At 36.7% G+C, this 24412-nt stretch overlaps 1 long non-coding RNA gene across 1 annotated transcript in view; it reads left to right on the top strand.

The window, feature by feature from the left end:
• The window catches only part of LINC02653 (long intergenic non-protein coding RNA 2653), a 138285-nt gene extending 114515 nt beyond the window's left edge, over window positions 1-23770 (top strand). Inside the window, exons 4-7 of the long non-coding RNA NR_110657.1 lie at window positions 19696-19841; window positions 22237-22303; window positions 23252-23337; window positions 23483-23770. This is a non-coding gene — a long non-coding RNA (long intergenic non-protein coding RNA 2653). The remainder of the gene's footprint in view (window positions 1-19695; window positions 19842-22236; window positions 22304-23251; window positions 23338-23482) is intronic.
• Window positions 23771-24412: the final 642 nt, after the last annotated feature.

Here is a 24412-nt window from a genome sequence, read left to right as displayed (position 1 = left end):
CTGGGAAGGAGACATGGCTGGAAGAAAAGCAACTATTAGTGAAGCTATTATAAATTATCCAGATGAGATGTGGTAGGGCATACACTGTGCAGCACAGTTGGTAACAGAGAAGCAGGAAGAATGGAAGGATTTTAGACATACTTGCTGACGAACTGAATACGAAAGGTAATGATAAAAAAGACTCCAGGGTAAGCTATTGACTTCTGGTTGGAGGTACTGGATAACCGTTCAAAGAAGCAGAGAATATAAATGGACGAATGGCTTTATTGATGATGAGTTCTGTTTTAGACATTTTGATTTTGAGGCCTCCACCAGATATTTAAGAAAAGAGCGGCCGGGCGTGGTGGCTCACGCCTGTAATCCCAGCACTTTGGGAGGCCGAGGCAGGCAGATCACGAGGTCAGGAGATCGAGACCATCCCGGCTAACATGGTGAAACCCCATCTCTACTAAAAATACAAAAAAAATTAGCCGGGTGTGGTGGCGGGCGCCTGTAGTCCCAGCTACTCGAGGGGCTGAAGCAGGAGAATGGCGTGAACTCGGGAGGTGGAGCTTGCAGTGAGCCGAGATCATGCCACTGCACTGCAGCCTCGGTAACAGAATGAGATTCCACCTAAAAGAAAGAAAGAAAGAAAGAGCTTGATCAGGTTCTTAGATTCTGGAGCTCAGATATGAAGTTTTGTCAAAAGCTGCAGGTTTTGGTCACAAACAGAATAGTTTAAGCCATGGGCATGGTTGAGATTGTTCAATGTTTGGAAGACCGTAAATATTAGGCTAAAAATATGGACTATTTCTGTTATGTATGTGGGACCCAGTGAAGGTATTTCTTGAAGGAAATGATATAATAAGACAGTAGTGGTGAAATGGGCTAAGATTTTTAAAGAAAGTAAGTTTGTCAGAAGCATATTTGATAAACATTGGAAGGACTCCAAAGTGGACTTTTTTCTTAATGAACAAAGATTTGGGGAAATAGAAGAGTTGCCTGAGGATTAGTCAGTTATCTCCTCAAGGGAGTCCAAGAGGAGCTGTACTTTCTACCTAATAGATGCTCAATCAGGATTTGTATTAGTGCTTTCACTGAGAAGAGCATAACATTTAACAACTGTAAGTAATTCTGCATAACACAAGTCTCAGAGGTGCTACTCTGAAAACTACCTAGCACCTGTTTAATTAATACAAGGGAATAACATAATTGGGAATTTTCACTTCACAGAATCTGCTCAATTCTTCATTTCCCCTGTATCTGAAAAACTGTCATTATAAATCAGTCTTACAGTTGAACTACTCACTCTTTTTATTATTGTATTTTGTATATGCAACAAAATGCCATCAGTGAAGGATGTGGTTAGGTTAAAAAAATAGATTATTTTGACTGAAGTACAAGGTCATATACCTAGGAATTCAAAGAAAATAGCAAACCATTTTGTTGTCTTTTGCTTTCATAATGATTCATTCAAATTGCTGTGAGATTTTATTGGCTATGTGTATTCAGATAACGGAGTGGAAGAACCATTCAAAACTAAGTCCAATTGAGGCAATAATTAATAGCCTACCAACCAAAAAAAGCCCAGGACCAGATGGATTCACAGCCAAATTCTACCAGAGGTACACAGAGGAGCTAGTACCATTCCTTCTGAAACTATTCCAACCAATAGAAAAAGAGGGAATCCTCCCTGATTCATTTTATGAGGCCAACTTCATCCTAATACCAAAGCCTGGCAGAGACACACACAAAAAAGAGAATTTTAGACCAATATCCCTGATGAACATCGATGCAAAAATCCTCAATAAAATACTGGCAAACTGAATCCAGCTGCACATCATAAAGCTTATCCACCATGATCAAGTTGGCTTCATCCCTGGGATGCAAGGCTGGTTCAACATATGCAAATCAATAAACGTAATCCATCACATAAACAGAACAAATGACAAAAACCACATGAGTATCTCAATAGATGCAGAAAAGGCCTTCGACAAAATTCAACAGCCCTTCATGCTAAAAACTCTCAATAAACTAGGTATTGAGGGACGTATCACAAAATAATAAGAGCTATTTATGACAAACCCACAGCCAATATCATACTGAATGGGCAAAAACTGGAAGTGTTCACTTTGAAAACCGGCACAAGACAAAGATGCCCTCTCTCACCACTCCTATTCAACATAGTGTTGGAAGTTCCAGCCGGGGCAATCAGGCAAGAGAAAGAAAGAAAGTGTATTCAATTAGGAAAAGAGGAAGTCAATTTGTCGTGTTTGCACATGACATGATTGTATATCTAGAAAACCCCATCGTCTCAGCCCAAAATCTCCTTAAGCTGATATGCAACTTCAGCAAAGTCTCAGGATACAAAATCAATGTGCAAAAATCACAAGCATTCCTATACACCAATAACAGACAAACAGAGAGCCAAATCATGAGTGAATTCCAATTCACAATTGCTTCAAAGAGAATAAAATACCTACCAATCCAACTTACAAGGAATGTGAAGGACATCTTCAAGGAGAACTACAAACTACTGCTCAACGAAATAAAAGAGGACACAAACAAATGGAAGAACACTCCATGCTCAAGGATAGGAAGAGTCAATATTGTGAAAATGGCCATACTGCCCAAGGTAATTTATAGATTCAATGCCATCCCCATCAAGCTACCAATGACTTTCTTCACAGAATTGGAAAAAACTACTTTAAAGTTCATATGGAACCAAAAAGGAGCCCACATTGCCAAGACAATCCTAAGCCAAAAGAACAAAGCTGGAGGCATCACGCTACCTGACTTCAAACTATACTACAAGGCTACAGTAACCAAAACAGCATGGTACTGGTACCAAAACAGAGATATAGACCAATGGAACAGAATAGAGCCCTTGGATATAATACCACACATCTACAACCATCTGATCTTTGACAAACCTGACAAAAACAAGCAATGGGAAAAGGATTCCCTATTTAATAAATGGTGCTGGGAAAACTGGCTAGCCATATGTAGAAAGCTGAAACCGGATCCCTTCCTTACATCTTATACAAAAATTAATTCAAGATGGATTAAAGACTTAAATGTTAGACCCAAAACCACCAAAACCCTAGAAGAAAACCTAGGCAATACCATTCAGGACATAGGCATGGGCAAGGACTTCATGACTAAAACACCAAAAGCAATGGCAACAAAAGCCAAAAGTGACAAATGGGATTTAATTAAACTAAAGAGCTTCTGCTCAGCAAAAGAAACTACCATCAGAGTGAACAGGCAACCTACAAAATGGGAGAAAATTTTTACAATCTACCCATCTGACAAAGGGCTGATATCCAGAATATACAAAGAACTTAAACAAATTTACAAGAAAAAATCAAACTACCCCATCAAAAAATGGGCAAAGGATATGAACAGACACTTCTCAAAAGAAGACATTTATGCAGCCAACAGACACATGAGAAAATGCTCATCATCACTGGTCATCAGAGAAATGCAAATCATAACCACAATGAGATACCATCTCACACCAGTTAGAATGGCGATCATTAAAATGTCAGGAAACAACAGGTGCTGGAGAGGATGTGGAGAAATAGGAATACTTTTACACTGTGGGTGGGACTGTAAACTGATTCAACCATTGTGGAAGAGAATGTGGTGATTCCTCAAGGATCTAGAACTAGAAATACCATTTGACCCAGCCATCCCATTACTGAGCCTATACCCAAAGGATTATAAATCATGCTGCTTTAAAGACACATGCACACATATGTTTATTGCGGCACTATTCACAATAGCAAAGATTTGGAACCAACCCAAATGTCCATCAATGATAGACTGGATTAAGAAAATGTGGCACATATACACCATGGAATACTATGCAGCCATAAAAAGGATGAGTTCCTGTCCTAGAAACCATCATTCTGAGCAAACTATCACAAGGACAGAAAACCAATCACTGCATGTTCTCACTCATAGGTGGGAATTGAACAATGAGAACACTTGGACACAGTGTGGGGAATATCGGACACAGTGTGGGGACTATCACACACTGGGGCCTGTCATGGCATAGGGGGAGGGGGGATAGCATTAGGAGATATACCTAATGTAAATGACGAGATAACAGGTGCAGCACACCAACATGGCACATGTATACATATGTAACAAACGTGCATATTGTGCACATGTACCCTAGAACTTAAAGTATAATAATTAAATAAATAAATAAATAAATAAATAAATAAATAAATAAAACTAATGGCTATACCTGGAGCCTTCACTAGCATCACTAACATTCTCTTAGTGATACAGGATGATAAGTGTTTCTTTTTCAAGATTACTTCATTACTGAGTATGGATATAGTCTATTTTTTGTAAGAATTTAGGCTACACACACACACACACACACACACAAAAGAAAGAATCAAATAAATACCACTTATGCTTTATAGTGATAATCATTGTTAGAAAACATAAGCTAAAAATAGAGAAGATCTTCATTGGCTCGGAATATTGTTTTTCTCCTTCAATGCATAGTCAATTATTGCTAATCTTTTGTTGTTTGGCTTAAATACCTGTCCCTTTCTGTCTTCACTAACCTTGGCTCTTCTTGCTAATATTAGTGTGTTCCAAGAGAGCTTACACACTCTATGGAGAAAAATGGAAGAAATGTGGAGAGCTACCCCAGCCAAGCCACTCTATGTTTGAAATGTCTAATAACCAACAGGTAGAGAGTAGAAACATGTGGTTGGACACACTGGTTTATAGCTCAGTGGTGAGATATAGCCAGTGATCTGGATAAAGTTACCAAATGTGAGGATGTAGATAGAGGAGAGGACTGTGGGGCTGCACATTTAGATTTGAATAGAGGCTAAGCCTGCCTAGAGAATTTATAAAGAGGTGGCTAGTGGTGTCATGAAATCTACTAATCCTGCAGGGTCTGCAGTAAAGTCAACAGAGATGGTAACAAATAAAGACTTATTCACCTGGAATTCCCTTTTCCTCCTTCTTTGAATGGCTAACTCTAACTCAAACCTTTGACTAAGATAAATACCACTTCCTTCAGCAAGTCTTATTTTACCAGTCCTTGACTATGCACCTTTCTCCCCTAAATACTCTGTCTTCTCTAAAATAGCTCTTGTTATTTTTCTGTTGCTTAGTAAGAAAGTCTTTCTGGTTTACTGTTGGTTTCACAGAACCCAGACCTGCAAATATCATGTAGTAGGTCCTAAGAATGTTTGCTGAATGACTGCATGAATGAACAAGACCTCTTATATTTCTTTTGCTCTCAAGAGAGTATATAAAACAGTCCTCTCATCTTACACAGTTTTTGTTGTTGTTTCAAGTAATTATTCCAGATATTCTCTTTGCCTAGTGTTATTTGCATTTCCCATTTTCCCACACTTTCTTTCGTTTCATCTCTTTCAGGCAGCATGCTTAGACTAGTTCTGTGGTTGTCTCAAAGAAAGCCTTGATTTCCAGCTGATAGCACATTTAGGCTTTGCCATTTTACTGTTTTCATGTTACTTTTCACCACATAGGCTGAAAGTGGTAGAGTAGAAATAACCCAAGAATAGGAACTAAGACTCACAAGCTTTAGCTTCAGCTCTGCCAATAATCAACTGTATGATGTAGGTGAGTTAGAACTTTGGGTTTGCAATGTTCCTCATCTGTGGAAATCTGTAAAAATGTCTTCACATTTTATTAAAAAGTCTATTGTTTTAAATTTTTCTCATCCATGTCTCAGCACCTGTTGACTCTTCTCTGCTATATCCTGCCTACAAAGAACTTTTTTTTTATTTTTAACTTCATTTTCATTGTTGACACTACTACAGATAGATAGAACATTTTTAAAGTGTTTCAGTTAACATAGTAAGAAGTAGAATTTAGTTTGACTTTATAAACTTGTAAAACTGGAATTATCTTTGGTAAATCCAAATCCTTATGTAATGTACACATTTATAAAAGAATACGTTTAACATTCATCAGGTATTTCTTGATCTATTTCTGTGATGGAATGCTCATTATTTTATATTTTTCTTTTGTTTGTATTTAAGAAAAATTTCCAAAAGTTTAATTTTTATAAATTTTATTAAATGTGTGTTAAAAATTCAAACACATTTATAATTAATGTATTTTATTAGCTTTTCTGTCCTTAAGCATTATAACAACCACCACTGTCTCTAATGGAATAGTTGACAGCTAATTTGATTTTCTAACTATTTATATGTTTATTTTCATTAAATACTTTAACTCCTTCTTCCAAATAATATTTTATATTAAGTAGGGTAAAAACTTTGAAATAATGATGCCACATTAATAAAATACTTATTTGAATGAAATATTTAAAAAATTAGAAAGGATTTGAGTACATTTGATACATTCAACATAATATGGGAGCTTGATAAAATATGAAATGCCAAAAATAAATTCGCTGTACCATTAAAGTTTTTCCAACTAGTTTTTCCTTTTAGCATAAACTTCTTCTTTCTAATAAAGAAATTTTATTCATATTCATTGGCCAATATCCCATGACAATGATCCATGTGCTAAATATAAGCTTTAATGGTTTGCGATGATGAAATTGTTTCCAGGTTCTACAACCTAAGAAAGGAGGTTTTATGAGAATTATCTAGGGTAATCAATAATTAAGGATTTTAGACTTTGGAAGAGATCTTAGTGTTTACCTTTTTCTTTTTATAGTTCAAGTAGGCAGTGAGATAAGGAGATTGTCTAAAACAACATAGCCATTAGGGTCAGTGACAGAACTGGAAGCCAGCTCTCTGAAATCCTGTTTCTCTTCTGTATTATCTATATGAGATAAGGGGCTTTATGGCAGGAGTCAACAAACTATAGTTTATAGACCAGATGCGGCCTGTATCTGTTTTTGCAAGTACAGTCATATGTTGCTTAATGATGGGAATACAATCGAGAAATGCATCATTAGGCGGTTTTGTCATTGTGTGAACATCATTAAGTGTACTTACGCAAACCTATAGAGGGTACAGCCTGCTACACACCTGGGTTATGTGGTACAGCCTATTGCTCCTAGGCTACAAACCTGTTCAGCATGTTACTCTTCTGAATACTGCAGACAATTGCAACAAAAAGTTAAGTATGTGTGTATCTAAACATGGAAAAGGTAGAGTAAAAATATGGTATAAAAGATATTAAAAAATGGTACATCTGTATAGAGTACTTACCATGAATGGAGCCTGTAGGAGAGGAAGTTGCTCTCGGTGAGTCAGTGAGTGAGTGGCGAGTGAATGTGAAGGCCTACGGCATGACTGTACTCTATTGTACACTTTATAAACACTGTGTACTTAGGCTACTCTATGTTTATAAAAAGAAATTTCTTCAATAATAAGCTAACCTCAGCTTACAGTAGCTTTTTTACTTTGTAAACTTTTTAGTTTTTTGAAACTTTTTGACTCTTTTGTACTAATACAGGTTAAAACACAAACACATGCAACTGCACAAAATATTTTCTTTATATTCATATTCTCTAAGCTTTTTTCTATTTTAAAAATATTTTATTGGCTGGGCACAGTGCTTCACACCTGTAATCCCAGCATTTTGGGAGGCTCAAGCAGGAGGATCACCTGAGGCCAGGAGTTCAAGACCAGCCTGGTCAACATGGTGAAACCTTATCTCAACTTAAAATACAAAAATTAGCCAGGTGTGGTGGCACACGCCTGTAATCCCAGCTACCTGGGAGGGTGAGGCAGGAGAATCACTGGAACCTGGGAAGTGAAGGCTGCAGTGAGCCCAGTTCGTGCTACTGCACCCCAGCCTGGGCGACAGAGTGAGACTCTGTCTCAAAAAATATATATATATATATATTTATTTTTTGAACTTTTTAACCTTTTTGTTAAATATGAGACACAAACACACACATTAGCCTAGGGCTACACATGTTCAGGATCATCAGTATCATAGTTTTTCATGTCCACATCTTATCCCACCAGAAGGTCTTCCACGCATAACGCACATAGAGCTACCATCTCCTATGATACCTTTTGAAGGATCGACTTGCAGCAGTTTTACAGTTAACTTTTTTTTTCCCTGTAACTAGAAGAAGTAAACTCTATAATAACAATAAAAATATAGTATAATAAATTCATAAACCATTTACATAGCCATTTGTTATCATCAAGTATTATGTACTGTACATAATTGTGTGTCCTATACTTTTTACAACTGGCAGCACAATGGGTTTGTTTATGTTGATGAAAAGAGTCAAACTCTGTAAAATATTTAAAGAGATTTACTCTGAGTCAAGGATGAGTGACCAATGGCCCGTGACACAGCCCTCAGGAGAGCCTGAGAACATGTGCCCAAGGTGGTCAGGGCACAGCTTGACTTTATACATTTTAGAGAGACATGAGACCTCAATCAATATGTGTAAGATGTACATTGGTTTGGTCTGGAAAGGCGGGACAACTAGAAATTGGGGCTTCCAGGACATAGGTAAATAAGAGACAAAAGTTTGCATTCTTTTAGGTCTTTTTGGGTCTTTAATCAGCCTTTCACTGAATATAAAATTTACATGTAAGAGGAGAGTAGAGGAATAGTCACTTGTGTCTTAGTCTGACTCAGTGAATCTGCATTTTTACATAAACAATAGGGCAGAGGAAGCAATCCAATAATGCAGGTGAGCAGAGATGACTCTGAGTTCTGTCTGTCCTTTGTCCTGCCCCTGAGAAGATAAGCTATCAGTTTACATTGCCAGGGTGAAATTCAACAGAACTGTTTTAGGGTGAAGACCTTGAGGCTCACAAGGAATTTCATGGTGGGCAAATTGTGAGGGAGGTATGTAGCTTAAAAAAAAAAAATCTTTGTAGTTATTTTAAAATAAAATGAGAGACAGGTTTGCCTGACACCCTTTGGCTTAGTAATTTGGGGGCTCCCAGGTTTATTTTCCTTTCACATTTACACCAATATTAAAACAAACATATGAGTAAAGAATTGTGCTACAATGTTAAGATGGCTGCGACTCATTAGGCAACAGGAATTTTTCAGATCTATTATGATCTTATGCAAACACTGTCGTATATGTGGTCTGTTGTTGAGTAAAACTTTGTAATGCGGTGCATGACTGTAGTTCAATTGCAACACAGCCATGCTCTTTCTTTTCCATATTCTCTATGGCTACTTTTGGACTATGACAGAGTTGAGTATTTACAAAAGAGACCATATGGCCCACAAATCTTAAAATATGTACTCTCTTCTCCTTTACAAAAAAAAGCTTGCTAAACTTGGCTTAATAGTTTTTAAAGGCTTTACATTTATTATTTTGTCTTTATCTTCACAACAAACTTATAAAATATATTTGAAATCTGCCTTTTGCTATGTATCCTCTTGTAGTTTAATAGTTCATTAGAGGAATTCTGCAGGAGAAGGTTCAATATGATGAAACTTTTCAGGCCACTCTTCATAAGATTGACTCTGTCCTGTTGTTCAAGGCTACTGATGCTGATCAAGGAATCAAGTGAATCTCCTCCACAGACTGTGAACAAGTAACTTTGACCTAAATTCTTTTTTACCTTTTTATTCTCAGCAAACTATCACAAGAACAAAAAACCAAACACTGCATGTTCTCACTCATAGGTGGGAATTGAACAATGGGAACACTTGGACATAGGAAGGGGAACATCACATATTGGGGCATGTTGTGGGGTGGGGGGAGGGGGGAGGGAAAGCATTAGGGGATATACCTAATGTAAATGATGAGTTAATGGTGCAGCACACCAACATGGCACATGCATACATATGTAACAAACCTGCATGTTGTGCACATGTACCCTAGAACGTAAAGTATAATTAAAAAAAAAAAAAAAGAATAGATTCACAGGGAGTTTCAAAGGTAGGGCAGAGGGGATCCACGTACCCCTTACCAGTTTTCCCCAATGGTTATACCTTACATAATTATAGCACAAAATCAAAATTAGGAATTTGACATTGGCACAATATGTACACTATGGCTTTATGTCATTTATCACATGTATACATTCATATTACTGTTTCAGGACATTTCCTTAGTTCAGCTAAAGACTGAGTCCTTGTCTGTCCCATGGCCATGAAAATTTAGGCTAGCAAATGGTTTGAAGTGTGATTAAGGCAGGGTTTTATTGGGTGAAAAGGGAAAAGAAGGAGAGAAACAGGGATCTTCCGCAAGGCCAGAGCCCCTGTTTGAATCCCAGGTTCCATGCAGGAAGAGGAGGGGCCACGCTCCTCCCAGCTGCAAAATGCGTGAACTTCCTGAGTCCCCACCCCGGTGCAGTTAGAATTTTTCCAGGGACCCCCTCCCACCTGGCTGTCTCATTCCCCGCTCTAAAAAAGTATATCTAACTGCCATGAGAATAAGGATAAAGATGAAGACTAAACTTAACTGCTTCCTGCTGACAGGGAAACGGCAGTCAGAGCTTTTGGGGAAATGGCAGTCAGAGCTTCCTCAGAGGCCTATTTAAGGGTTCCCAGCAGAAGGGGCCATCGTCAGAGGCTCTGGTTGCATGACCATTTGGAGTTTGATGGTCTAAGAACAGACAAACCGGGTTATTAGAAAACATGTATCAAAACAAAACAATAGGAAGGGTAAGCTCAAAAAGGCATTTTTTTAAGGGAGTCCCCGGGGTTCAGGATGTATTCAAAAGGGGTACATACTGAAGATTAATAGCTACCCATCTAGAAAGAGGGGAGCAGGCATCCCTGGCTCCCTTTTCTTCCTAGCAGATACCTGGGGTACATGAGGGAGAAAAGGAAGAGTGTCCTCTTTTCCTCTTCCATCCTTGCATCTCCAAGTCCCTGTGACCTAGGCAGGTCCCGCCATGAGTGCCAAAGCAGCTTGCACACATGAAGCAGGGAAGGCCTAGAGAATAGGAATTATCTGCTCTCACCTATGCCTCTATCACTGCTACTGTCAGTAGCCTTGGAGTGCCCTAGACCTCATTTACACCATGGATATTAATGTGGCCTTTATCCATGAAACAGGAAGTTTGGGGTTGGCTTAATCAACAGGAATCAGCCATGCTCCCCTGTGCTGTGCCTTTTAACCTCTGTTGTTGTCTGCCTCTGGATCCTTTATATCCAATTTTCTTTCTAGGGCTTTAACCCAAAGCCTGTAATTGAGTCTGGGACAAAAATGTGTCTCGGGGAAAGTTGCGTGGACTCCTTATCATAAGCCAAATGCTATGATGAAACTGTGGAACTAAGTCCTCCTCCGAGGGTGAGAAAGGATGTCTTATGACACCCCCAGATAACTGGTAGCTATAGTTATGCTTGCTAGGATTTGGGTGCATGGTGTCTGGCTTTGGTTAGCTCCCTTGGTCTTACTTCCCCAAAAGGAAACCTCTGAGTGATGGGATCCTATTTATTCCCTATGTATTCCATCACCTGGCAAGATTTGCAGGATAATTGCACAGAACTAGAATATTGATCAGGATTTCTACATTACCCATCCCCTTTTGTTCTTTCTGAGCTGCAGCCAGAGATTGCTGGTTGGTTCACAGGAACAAGCAGGATTAGTCTAAAATGTAGGAGAAAACTTAAAAACAATTAGTTAGTTTAGAATTTAATGACAAATGTATGAGAAAGTTTGGAATATAATTTTACTCTCTCCAGTCCTCATGTTTGTTTAAAAAAAACAAATCATAATGGGACTGGGTTGTTTGAAAAATAGACTTTGGTTTTACACTTGGCCTGATTATTTACATAAAGTGCAGCAAGAATAATCATTTCTACATAGGCCTTTTGGATTGGCTTTGATGGAACTTTGTTCCACAAGGAGTCTCAGATAAGGTATTTTAAAACTGAGCCCAGCCATGGGTTAGTATCCTCAAATACCTGTGAGTGGGGTCATCCTCTCCTCATAAGGTCCCAAGATAAACTTGGAGCTCCTGGACCTGTTAGAAAGTGACAATCATTACTGACCACACATCAGGAACCCTGTACAGGGACTGCATAGACAAAGTTATGAGGCCAGTCTCCCCACTGGGCTTTTATTGGCTCTGCAAGTCGAGATTGACTCCTTAAAGGGAAGCATACCCTTCCAGTCAAAGCCTTGGTGAAATGACCAGTTTTTCCAATTGCGTTCTGTTGCAAAAGAAAGATGGATTCTTATTGCACTGATGCAAACAACTATATTGCTGTAAGTTAAGAATACTCACAGATACTTTCCAAATTCTAAGGGAAGCAGGCAGAGAGAAACAAACATGCTCCAAATTTTGATCTAGGAGTGTATCTTAATAATTAAAGGCCATAAATAGTTTAAAATAAGTTTCTTTGACTCTGAAAAACATAACAAGGATCAGCAATATTTCAAGCAAAAGTCAGAAAGATTTGCTCCATTCAGTTTCTGAGTTTAGTCCATTTAGTTGACTCTTGTTTTGCTTAATATTCATGAACATTTCAGCTGTTCACGAGTCCTGTATGTTTTCCTTTATTCCAATGTTACAATTTCCAAAGTTATCAGAAGCCTGTATTTTAGAGGATCTGTTAAATTTCTATAGCTTATTACGAACCATCTTTTGAAAAGGATTAAAACAAGACAACAATTGTCTGTGAATAGCAAAATGTCCAGGGTAGTTACAGCTAGCAACACAATTGACAAAGAAGTTTGGCCATCTCTGTGGTTTACAACAACTTAACATAACAACCTTAATTATGATTGATAGCATATACTTAGACATTAGAATTCTCATAAATTTTGGAACATATATTAGCCTTATTCACCAAAAATGTAACCTAAAGAAGAATGAACATCATTTTGTCAATCCCATGTATCTAAACCCGTCCAATAATCCTGTTTACCTCTCTTTTCTGGACATTCCAGGGGCCCTCTGAAGTATCCGATGTCAGGGGTCAGGAAAGACAATTTTGAAACTGGGGTTTCATTTGGGAAGCCTGTTAAATATGTTTAAAGCACTCGATATTATGAAACAGAATTCCAGATTACCATAAGTCATTTATTTTGCCAAAATGATGACTCAGAAGTCTTAAAGAAGCAAAATTCTTTTATAACCCTTTTGAATTTTGTTAATATGTTTGCATAGAGAACCTCTTCTGCAAGATTAATTTCCACAGTTCTTCCACCACTTGTTTGAAACTTTGGCTTTTCCTATCTAACTCAAAACAATCCTTTAACACTAGGCACAAATTTATATTTCCATGCCTTCTTATAACCTTTTACTAAAAAACACATTTTACTGTTCTTACATACCTTGCATGTAAATCTATTTCCAGTAGTTTCAATTACATGTTATAATGGTAACTCTTAGCAATTTTTAACTTTAATGTGAAACCTGGTAAGTTGTTTAAATTGTGTGCTAAGTGCAGCCAAGGTTTCCCTTCTTAATTAAGGGTATGGTTAGTTCCATATGTCCCCAGGTCTTGCAATTGTGAAGCCCACAAGTCAGATAGTTCTCAAAAACCCAAAAAGCAGTTTGCAACCTCAAAACATTTAGCAAATCTTGCATCAGACCTGCATAGTTTAGTTCATCTATTTACATTTTAATGACACATGCATTTTACCAACAAGATTGAAGGCTGCTTTTATTTCTGAAAAGTACCACAGCTTTTATCCTCCCTTTAAAAAATATTAGATGCAAGCAGTTGTCTTTCTTTAGGCCAAATTAACTAGAGCTCTTTTCCAGACATTACACACAACACATACACAGACAGGCACAAGAAAACCCAGTTGCTGGGTAGAGCCCTTTAAGAGACAGGGGTAGGAAAACATGCAGACATCAAACCATAAAGAAAGTTATTCCCTAAGATAGGATTGCTAAACAAAGCCTTGCCACCAGAGTTACAAGTCATACCCTCAGGATGTAAAACAAGATGGAGGCTTGATTTTACAACCAAAACTTTGCAGAGAATACGAACAGTGATAGTTGGGGTGCTATCACCATAGCAATAGTCCGTAGACTATTTTATTTATCTCTGCTCTGATTTTTACTTTTTCCTTCCTTCTAATAACTTTGGACTTAGTTTGATCTTATTCTAGCTCCTTGAGGTGTAGCATTATTTATTTGTGATCTTTTTATATAATATTTCCTTATGTAGGTCTTTATTACTATAAACTTCCATCTTAGAACTGTTTTTACTGCATCTTATAAGTTTTAGTATGTTGTGTTTCCATTTGTTTTGGCTCAATTTTTTTTTAAATTATTCCTGTAGTTTCTTCTTTGCTGCATTTATTTTTTGAGGTGTGTGGTGTTTAATTTCCACATATTTGTGAATGTTTCAGTTTTTTTTCTTATTTGTTGATTTCTAGTTTTGTACCATCATAGTCAGAAAAGATGTTTAGTATGATTTCAATCTTCTTAAATATCAAGATTAACAATCTTCAAGATTTGTTTTGTTGCCTAACATATAATCTATCCTGGAGAATGTTTCATGTGTACTTGAATGTGTATTCTGCTGCTGTGAATAGACTGTTTTTTATATGTCTGTCAGGTTCATTTAGTCTAAAGTACAGTTCGAGACCAATGTGTCCTTTTAGAATTCCTCTCTGGATAAGCTACATTGTTGAAAGTGGGGTATCGAAGTACTCTACAATTGTTGTATTTCTGTCTCTTTCTCCCTTCAGATATGTTAATATTTACTTTATGTATTTAGGGGCTTTAATGTTAGGGGCATAGTATATTGACTGTTGTTTTATCCTCTTGATGAATTGACCAGTTTATCATTACATAATGACTTTTTTGTCTCTTCTTAGTTTTTGAGTTAAAGTCTATTTGTTTAAGTATAGTTACCCTTGTTCTCTTTTAAGTTTCTAGTTGCATGGAATAGCTTTTATCATCCATTTCCTTTCAGGCTATGTGTGTCCTTACAGGTGAAGTGAGTCTCTCACAGGCAGCATGTAGTTTGGTCTTATGTTTGTATCCATTTAGCCACTCCATATTTTTTGATTGGATAATTTGATCCATTTACATTTAAAGTAATTATTGATAAATACAGACTTACTATTGCCATTCTATTAATTGTTTTCTTGCTGTTTTATAGATTCCTTCTTCCTTTCTTGCTGTCTTCCTTTGTGATTTGATGATTTTCTATAGTGTTTTGCTTTGATTCCTTTCTCTCTACCTTTTGAGTAATCTATTGCAGATTTTTTTCTTTGTGGTTACCTTGAGTTTTATAAAACGTAGTTTTAACAGTTTGATTTAAGATAATAACTTTATTCACATATATAACTCTATACTTTTGCTGTCCCCACATTTTAGGTTTCTGTTGTACAATTTACATCTTTTTACTGTGTGTATGATTAACAAATTATTGTAGTTATAGTTATTTTTAATGTTTTCATTTCTCGCTGAGTTTTATACTTTTATATGTTTTCATGTTACCGATTAGCATCCTTTCAATTAAGCTTAAAATTTTTCCTTTAGCATTTTTGAGAGGTGAAGACCGCTGGTCTTCTTGGTCAGACGGGGACTTGGAGAACTTTTTTGTCTAGCTAAAGGATTGTAAAAGCACCAATCAACACTCTGTAAAAATGGACCTATCAGCATTCTGTAAAATGGACCAATCAGCAGGATGTGGGCGGGGCCAACTAAGGGACTAAAAACTGGCCACCTGAGCCAGCAGCGGCAACCTGCTTGGGTCCCCTTCCACACTGTGGAAGCTTTGTTATTTCACTCTTCACAATAAATCTTGCTGCTGCTCACTCTTTGGGTCCGCACTACTTTTATGAGCTGTAACACTCACTGTGAAGGTCTGTGGCTTCATTCCTGAAGTCAGACCGCGAACCCACAGGGAGGAACAAACAACTCCAGAAGCGCCACCTTTAAGAGATGTAACACTTACTGCGAAGGTCTGCGGCTTCACTCTTGAAGTCAGCGAGACCACACACCCACCGGAAGGAAGAAACTCTGGACTCATGTGAACATCTGAAGGAACAAACTCTGGACACACCATCTTTAAGAACTGTAACACTCACCGCAAGGGTCCACAGCTTCATTCTTGAAGTCAGTGAGACCAAGAACCCACTGGAAGGAATAAATTCTGGACACATTTTTGTATGGCCATTCTAGTGGTGGTGAACTCCCTAATCTTTTGTTTGTCTGAGAAAGTCTTTATCTCCTCTCATTTCTGAAGGACAACTTTGCTGGATAAAGTAGTCTTGTTTGGTAGTTCTTTTTATTTTTCTTTTAGTACTTTGACTGTAACATCCCATTATATTTTAATGTCGTTCTCAATGTAGGTAGAGGAAATATATAAGACAATTATTTTATAAATATTAAAGAGGGTAAGGAGTAAAGAGTATAAAAGGTAAAGGGGATAATTTTTAATACTTTACTCAAACTGATAAAATATTGACATCATAGACTGTGGTAAGTTTTGTATATATAAATTAATACCTAGAGTAACTACTAAAAAAGCTACAAAAGGATATTCACCTAAATATACATTAAATAAATCAAATGGGAATATAAAAATTTTCAATCTATGAAAAGCATGAAAAAAGAAATATAAAACAGAGATAAACAGAAAACAAAAAATAAGATGTCAGATTTAAAATATCAAGTTTTACATTAAAATCAAGTGGTCTAAATATGCCAATTAGAAAAAAGAGATGAGGACAGTAACATAGCAGAATAGGCGCTTTCTATGGTCATCCCCCTCACCTATAGAAGGATTGATTTTGACTGCTATCCATGAAAGAGAGTGTCCTGTGGGAGTCTAAGAGTCTAGTGGAGAAGTTCCAGCATGGTGTTGGTGTGGAGGAAAAGCTAAATATTACATTTGAACTCAATTGAACATGGACACAAACAATGGTCACCAAGTCCCAGAATGAGTTGTATGAGCCCCTTGAGACATTGATCCAGCATTGTTTCAGACAAGTCTCTATTTCAATCTATTTCTATATGTTAGTTGTTGAAAAACAACAGGCAATCGCAAAAACAAGTTGAACTTTTTGTGTTCCTTGAGCCCAGTCATGAAGGGCCCTCATGACTGGGCCTCATGCCAAACAACTCGTTACAAAAAGAGCTAGGTTGCCAGACTGTACTGAAACTTAATGAGACCTCTACTTGTCTGAGCATGGGCCAGTGGCCGACTCTGGACCCCAGGCTGTTGCTTCCCATTGTGGTGGTGAATCCTCCATAGTCTGGTGAGTGCAGTGTCCAACTCTGGAGCCCAGGCTGTTGCTCCCCAGTCTGATGATGAATCCTCCATAGCCTGGTGAATGTAAATATATATATATATCTTTTCCCTTCTCCCCTTCCCATTGCAATTTGCTTATTATATAATTTCCTTATTATATCATTTGCTTATTATATCTGCATTGCCATTTACATGGGATAAAGCTTTTTTACCCATAAAGGTATTGTGTGTGTGCCTTTTCTTCTCCCCTCGCATGTCTCCTGCACAGAACAGTTGGAGCCAAAAGTTTGAGGATAGATACACGAAGAGGGCAAAGCACCCCCACTTCAAGGCAGCACAGCTAACTGCCATGGCTGGGGGAGAGAACCCCCTTAGTTGGTTATTTATTTCTGAAAGAATGTGAGAGTGTAGTGAGTAGGTGCCCAGCTACCTTAGCAGGGTGAGATGCTGACCAAGAAGTTCACTTCTTTCTCACCCCACTCAGAATACTGAGGTGATTGTCAGGGCTGAGTGCTGAGGAGAGTCTGGCAGCAGGGAAGAAAAGCCCTGGACCTAACTACTTTGCTCCTCAGACAATCAGGAAGCCTACCTACAAGATATATAGGACCCCTTGCCTCTGAATGCACTCCCAACTGGCTCATGGTCACCTCAAGTGCCCTGTGAGCCTCATTTTACCTCTCCTGTTGGCTCCACAAATGTAACCAGATACCCAGTGCAAGTCTCTAACTGACAGCCTATTTGACTCTGTGGGATTGGAAGAAGACACACAAAGTCAAGCATTTCAGGGTATTGAACCTAGAGAAAGCAAATGGGATGCTCTCAGCACCTGACCTGGCTTAGTGGATTGAAAAGGCATGTAATCCTCAGACTTCTCCTGTAACTCCCCTTCCCACAGATGGAACAAGAGGTTTGGAGCTGGCATAGCCATAGAAAAGATCTGAGAAATCCTTAGAATACCAGCTGGACTGATTAGTGAAGTATTTCTATCCCAAAGCCACTCAGTAAAGACTGGAGGATGTTTTTGCACCCATCTTTATTCTCAGTCTTCCTAACAGAATTACAGTGAACATCAGTCATCCAAAATTTTTCTATATTTAAGAAAAGATCTGACAAATTAATCTAAGATATGAATGACTAAATCTGACTTAATATGCTGTATATCCCAGGCTTATATTTATTTTACCAGATAAGATTTCTAAAGCCCAATCAACTAGTCTCAAGTGCTTGAATTTAGCGCGGTCATGGCAGGTCTTATGATCAAAGGGATTTTCTTTTAGTGACCTAAGTCATTTTCCATTTTGGTAATACTTGAATGTAAAGTAGTTTTGCAATATAAGCCAGATTATTAGTTTTATGATCAAATCTATATCCTTTATATAAGTCTTCAAACTGGGAATTTTTTTTCTAGGAGTACCATAACATCATTTTTTAAACATTGTCATTTTTGTTGGTCAAATATTCTAACTAATATTACCGCAGAATGATTATAAATCATCAGTTTTAATGAATATTTTTGACTCATGGAAAATGACACTACTGCATTTTACTGCCTATTAAATAGATATTAGCTGAACATTAGCAACTTTTCTTTCTTACTTGCTTTTCTAAAGACTTAGAAATGTCTGGGTTAAGATAAGGGTTTATGAAGACAAAGATTTTATCATGCAGGTGAAGCCTCCACGTAGCAGGCTCCAGAAAGAATAGATTGTAAATATGTCTTATCAGACTTAAAGAATCTCTTCTATCGGTAATTCCAAAAGGAGGAGGGTATAATGAGGCATGTCTGACATCCTCCTTACCATCGTGTCCTGAACTAGTTTTTCAGGTTAGTTTTGGAATGCCTTTGCCAAAAGGAGGAATCTCGTCAGATGCTTGGAGAGGCTTAGAATTTTATTTTTGGTTTACAATTCAGAGAACTGACTCATTATCTTGCAAGGTTCAGGGGACAGTGATGGTATCTGATATTCTGTCTAGCTGTGTGGCTGCTTTTGTGACTCAATTGTTGTTTATGTCTGGCTTTTATCCCAGTACTCTTCCCAGGGCAGGGAGAAGACCAAGTGGCCTATCACATGGGGAATAATAATGTGAGGGAGCATATTGAAGGACATTAATCATAACTATACATTCATGGATGCAATATTTTGTAAATTTTTAATCTGTTTCAATCCTATGAAAAAGCCATTAATATTATAGAATCCATTGTATTGATGAAGAAACAGACCCAGAGGAATGAAAAGACTTTGATAGAGAAAGTGGAAGATCTGAATCTCAAACTCAGGTCTTATGGATCCAAATACTCAGCTTATCTGACACCACTAATTCTTTAAACATACATTGCACTGATTCCCAAAACACATAATGCAACAGACATTAGGTTCCATTGTTGTTGTTAGCTTTTTAAATCTCTAGCATTATTTAGTTGTCCCTATTTTATTTACAGTCTCCCAAACCTGGGTATAAAAATCAGGCTTGCTATTTGTTTATTTTTCTCCTCAAAGCACCTAGCATGGTCCCTTATAATGAAATGTTTGCTCAAAAAATATTTATTGAGTGATAGTTAATGTATTAGGTCATTGGTATCAATTGCTATTTAGCAGAGGTCAAATATATGTATTTTGGCAGGTAAGAAAGCTATGAACCTGGAACAAGAATCATGGGGAGAAGCAATATGCAATTTTGTGAATTATGAATTTAAGTTCATAAAGGGAACTGGGATTGGGACCCTGTGGGAAGCCCTGAAGAAGAAAGACCAGGAAAATTGGTAAGAGGTGGGAATAATGTATTTATTATATGTTAGCCCCTGGCCAATAGACTTTAGGCATAGAGAAGAACTTTAGGGGAGCTGAAGGACAAAGTCCCTTTGAAGAGCTTCTTATTTATGCAGATGATCATTTCCTCCCATCAACACTCTTTGCTGACAAAAACTTTGGCTTAGGTGATGTCACTCCAATTTTACCAGGAATACTTTCCTCTGCCTCCTTTCATCTTCTCTTTCCTTCCATATTTTTCTATCAAAAATGGAAATAACTATAATACGTAATACATATCTAATTATGAAAGTAACATATACTCAGAAATTACTAAAAAGAAAGAAAAATTTAAAAATTAAAGAACAAAATAAAACAATCTCCAAAATGAACTTCCAGGAATAACCACCATTCAAATTACATGGCATGTCAGATTTTTTGTAGGTATATAAATATTCAAGGGTAGAATCTAATACTATTTTATCTACCTCTATTTTAACTCATCAGCATTACTTCTAAAACTGCAAAAATAAAATCATTACATGCTGCAGCCCCTATTTAAACCAATTCCCTATTGCTGAACATTCAAGTTTTTATAATAAGCATCTCCAAAAAACATCTTTGTGAATTTCTATGATTATTTTTCAATAGGTACATTTATAAAAGTGAAAATTTGGGGTCAAAATATAGGAAAATTTTGAAGGCTTTTCAAACAGACTTTTCAGTTTCCTTGAGGAGTCTGCTAACAGGAGTGTCCTCGTACTCTCTTCAATGCAAGATATTGTCACACTTTTTAATCTTTGCAAGTACAAGTCCAAAAATTGTTTAATTTATATTTATGTAATTACTAGTGAAATTGATTATTTTGAAAATATAAATGAGACATATTTTATATTTTTATTTTTTCTTGTGAAAATTTTCAACTCATATTCTTGCTGTTGTATTATTTTTTGCTGATTTTTATAACTATCTATCATCTATCTATCTATCTATCTATCTATCTATCTATACATATTTATGGCTGGATAATGTTTAAGATATACATTTTATTCTTTTTCCTCCTGCATACTCTTGTCATTGTCCCCCTACTGTGTTCTTTTCCTATTTAAGCATTATGTCAGGGAAGATATAAGGTGTAGAAAGAAGCAGCCAGCAAAAAATTCTGATTTCCTTTTTATCTTCTCTCACCTCAAATCTTTAGACTAATTGAATAGCAAAAGATTTCTCAGCCAGAAAGTGGCTGAGAGTTCAGACAAAAGCAAGAAGAGAGTATTTTCCAACACTAAAAAGTGATTCTTCTGGCTGGGAAATTAGCAATACTTCATTTAATAATCACACATTTATATTTATATTTATGAGTAAATATAACTAATTTTGGTAGTTAAGTTAATGGAATAAAGCTCTTTTATAGCTATCTGCAGCATAAATACACCTCAGAGACTGGTTGTATTATTTGCAACCAGTGCAGTTACTTGTTTAACTCAGTCACCACAAAGTTGAGGCACATGGTTCTGGAAGACTGGGTGGTATAGTGGAAAAAACACTTTCAGGGCTTTAGAAAGGTCATCTGGGATCTGATTCTGTCTCTTCTGCTGACTGATTTTGGGCAATCATGCAACTTTTCAAAAGTCTCCTTCTCATTATGCAAGAAATACAATCAATAACACCAAAAGGAAAAGAAATCAACATTTTGTATAATATTTACTATGGTTTGAATATTTGTCCATTTCAAAACCTATGTTGAAATGTAACTGCCATTGTGACAGTAGTAAGAGGTAGAATTTTTAAGAGGTGATTAGGCCACGAGGACTCCTGCCTTAAAGGTTGGATTGGTGCCATTATAAAAGGGTGAGGCTGTTTTTTTCTTGCTGTCACCCTCCCATCTTCTGCCATGTGATGATGCAGCAAGAAGGCCCTCACCAGATGCCAGTACATTGATATTAGACTTCCCAGTCTCCAAAACTGTGAGCCGATAACTTGTTTGTTATAGGTTACCCAGTCTCAGGTGTTCTATCAGCACAAAATGGAGTAAGATAATATTGTATATTTTATATGCTTTTATATAAAATATTTAATGTAAGTTCACAGCACTATTATTCAATGCTCTGAGATGTGAAGAACAAATAAGAGAAAAAAACACAACAAATTGTTTATAAATCATAAAAATTTGTTTCCCTAGAACACAGTTAGTACAATTGAAGTCTTTGAAAAATAATTATTTTTTTCAGTACTTGATAATCCAACATGTAGACCAAACTTATGCTCAGGGCACCAGCAAGGACAACCACAAAATAAATGAGAAAAAGTAGATGTTTATCATTTAATATTAGATCTCTCAAATGAAAAGAAAAACATGATCATGAAGGATAAAATGAGAATATTGCTGAACTTTATCACATTTAATCTTATGATTTAGAATCATTTCAGTTTGAATGAACCAGGACAAGGCACCAGAGGGCTTTAACCAGCCATGCTGACCACAGGTACTCTGATTTAGTGGCATTTGGCCATTAAATGATTGGTTCTTTTGAGCTATTAATCACCCCTTGGCCTCTCCTTGTAGTTATTTGACATAAATATCTCATTTAAACATTCCTACTACATACAAGGCAAGCAGATGTGGGGATGTGGGAAGGGATGAGGTAACCAAAAGAGCCCAATTTTGGAACTTGCTGGCAAGAGTTTTGCGGTAGGGAGTTGCTCAAATGAGGCCTTTCCTGGGTCTCTCCTCTTTATTCATACAAGTAGTTAAGAATTGGCCTTATATCCAAAGTTTATTTGGGAACCCTTATTCCATTAAGATTGCTGTCAATGTCTCTAGACTCTCCTCTTTTAGGGTGAGAATCTAAATGACTTAAGATTTTTCAAAAGTCTCATTTTTTCAGAAGGTTTATTAATACTCTACTGGAAAGGTTAAAAATCTGCAAGCTTAATGACTTATATGCATTTGAAAAATCAATTCAGAAAGGTACCTCCTGCCAGCTACTGGAACCAAAGATGAGTTGAAATCCTTTCAGTTTCTCTTGCTATTCAACATGGGTCTCTAGTGTTTTTGCACTCTAGCCAAAAGCTTTCAGACTTAGGATAAAGCCCTCTGAATGACAAGATAAAATATATGTGCATTTTCCTGTTGCATATCTTCAAGCCAGATGTTCTATGTTTAAAAAGAAAATAATAAAAATGAAAGCTTTAAAAAGGCCTTGGTCGCATACAGTCAAAATTACATTTTATTCAGTTAACAGTCTCTAAGCTGAGCATACGACTGAATGATACATTATTTAAATAGCTTCTTATTTTTACCATCAAAAGAGATTTAATGGGTTATATTAATTTGAACACTTTTCAGCAAATGTCTAGAGTTATAAGATATCTAGAGAAAATGGGCATTTTAAAGATTTATACCAATTGTTCTTTATTTTACTTCTTCGCAGAATGGTGCTTAACTCAGTGCCCTCTTGAATACAGAAGGAAAAAGGGCAGGCTTAAATTAAGGCTGTGCCCAGGCATCAATGAGGTGGTGAGTGGGATGGAAGTAGGAGGCAGACTGAGCAATAACTGCTATGCATGATTTCATGTGGCACCAAGTGCATATTACATATCTCATCTTATTTAATCTTTATTATAGCAATATAGATGTGAGCGTTATTATTCTTGTTTTACAGACGAGAAGACTAAGGCTTAGAAGACTTAAGTAACTTGCAAAGGTCATGGAGTGATCAGGTGGCTATGCATATAATCCCAAGAGTAGTCTGTGTGAAAGCTTATGTGCTCTATGCTGCTTTTCTACATCAGAAAGGTGGAAATTCTCCCTCTCTGTTGTATCCCTCACAGAATGACCACATGATTATTCTGATAGCTTAATGAAAAGTGTGTTCCTGGCTAGGCAAACTTCTCATTTGCTTAGTTCAGTGCTGGATATAAAGAAGATGAATGTGGCCTCAGACATCTAACAGTGAAGTCTGCTCATTTTCTTAACTTTTAATATTATAACTTGCCTCCTCAAAAGTTGTTTTGGGGTCAAATGAGTTTTGTATTTCCTGGGAAAGGATTTTGTAAACCATAAAGCACTATGTTGCTTTAAGGATTTATTTTAATTTTAAGGATTTTTAAAACATTCTCTCCTCTGCTTTAAGAAGTTGAAGATATTTATTTTAACTAAAGTATTAAATGAGAGTAGTAAACATATTGAGCCACTGGATAGCATTAACAATTGAGGATAATTCATCTCTAGATTAGCTTTCTGGCTGATCATCTAAGTCAGGTTCAAAGAGAATAATTACAGGGTAGCACAAATTTTAATTTTTTAAATTATTTTGCATTATAAATAATATATACAAAATTTTATATATAAAATTTAAGAATAAAAACAAATAATTTTATCATCCAAAACAAAGTAATCATGGTTAATATATTTCATAGGAAACTTCTTTTTCTCCCTTTCCTCCTCTCTTTATCTCTATCTGTAGAAAATATTTGTATATGTGGGGATATATTATATTGGGGTCATTCAATACACACAGCTTCACATTATGCTAATTTCTTCTTGTTACAGTGTTTTTTTATTTCATTATTAATTCTTTAGATATTCTTTA

The sequence above is a fragment of the Homo sapiens genome, chromosome 10, assembly GCF_000001405.40.
Source record: "Homo sapiens chromosome 10, GRCh38.p14 Primary Assembly".
Lineage (NCBI taxonomy): Eukaryota > Metazoa > Chordata > Mammalia > Primates > Hominidae > Homo > Homo sapiens.
The sequence above is the reverse complement of the archived record's forward strand: the minus strand, read 5'-3'. Positions and strand labels throughout refer to the sequence as shown.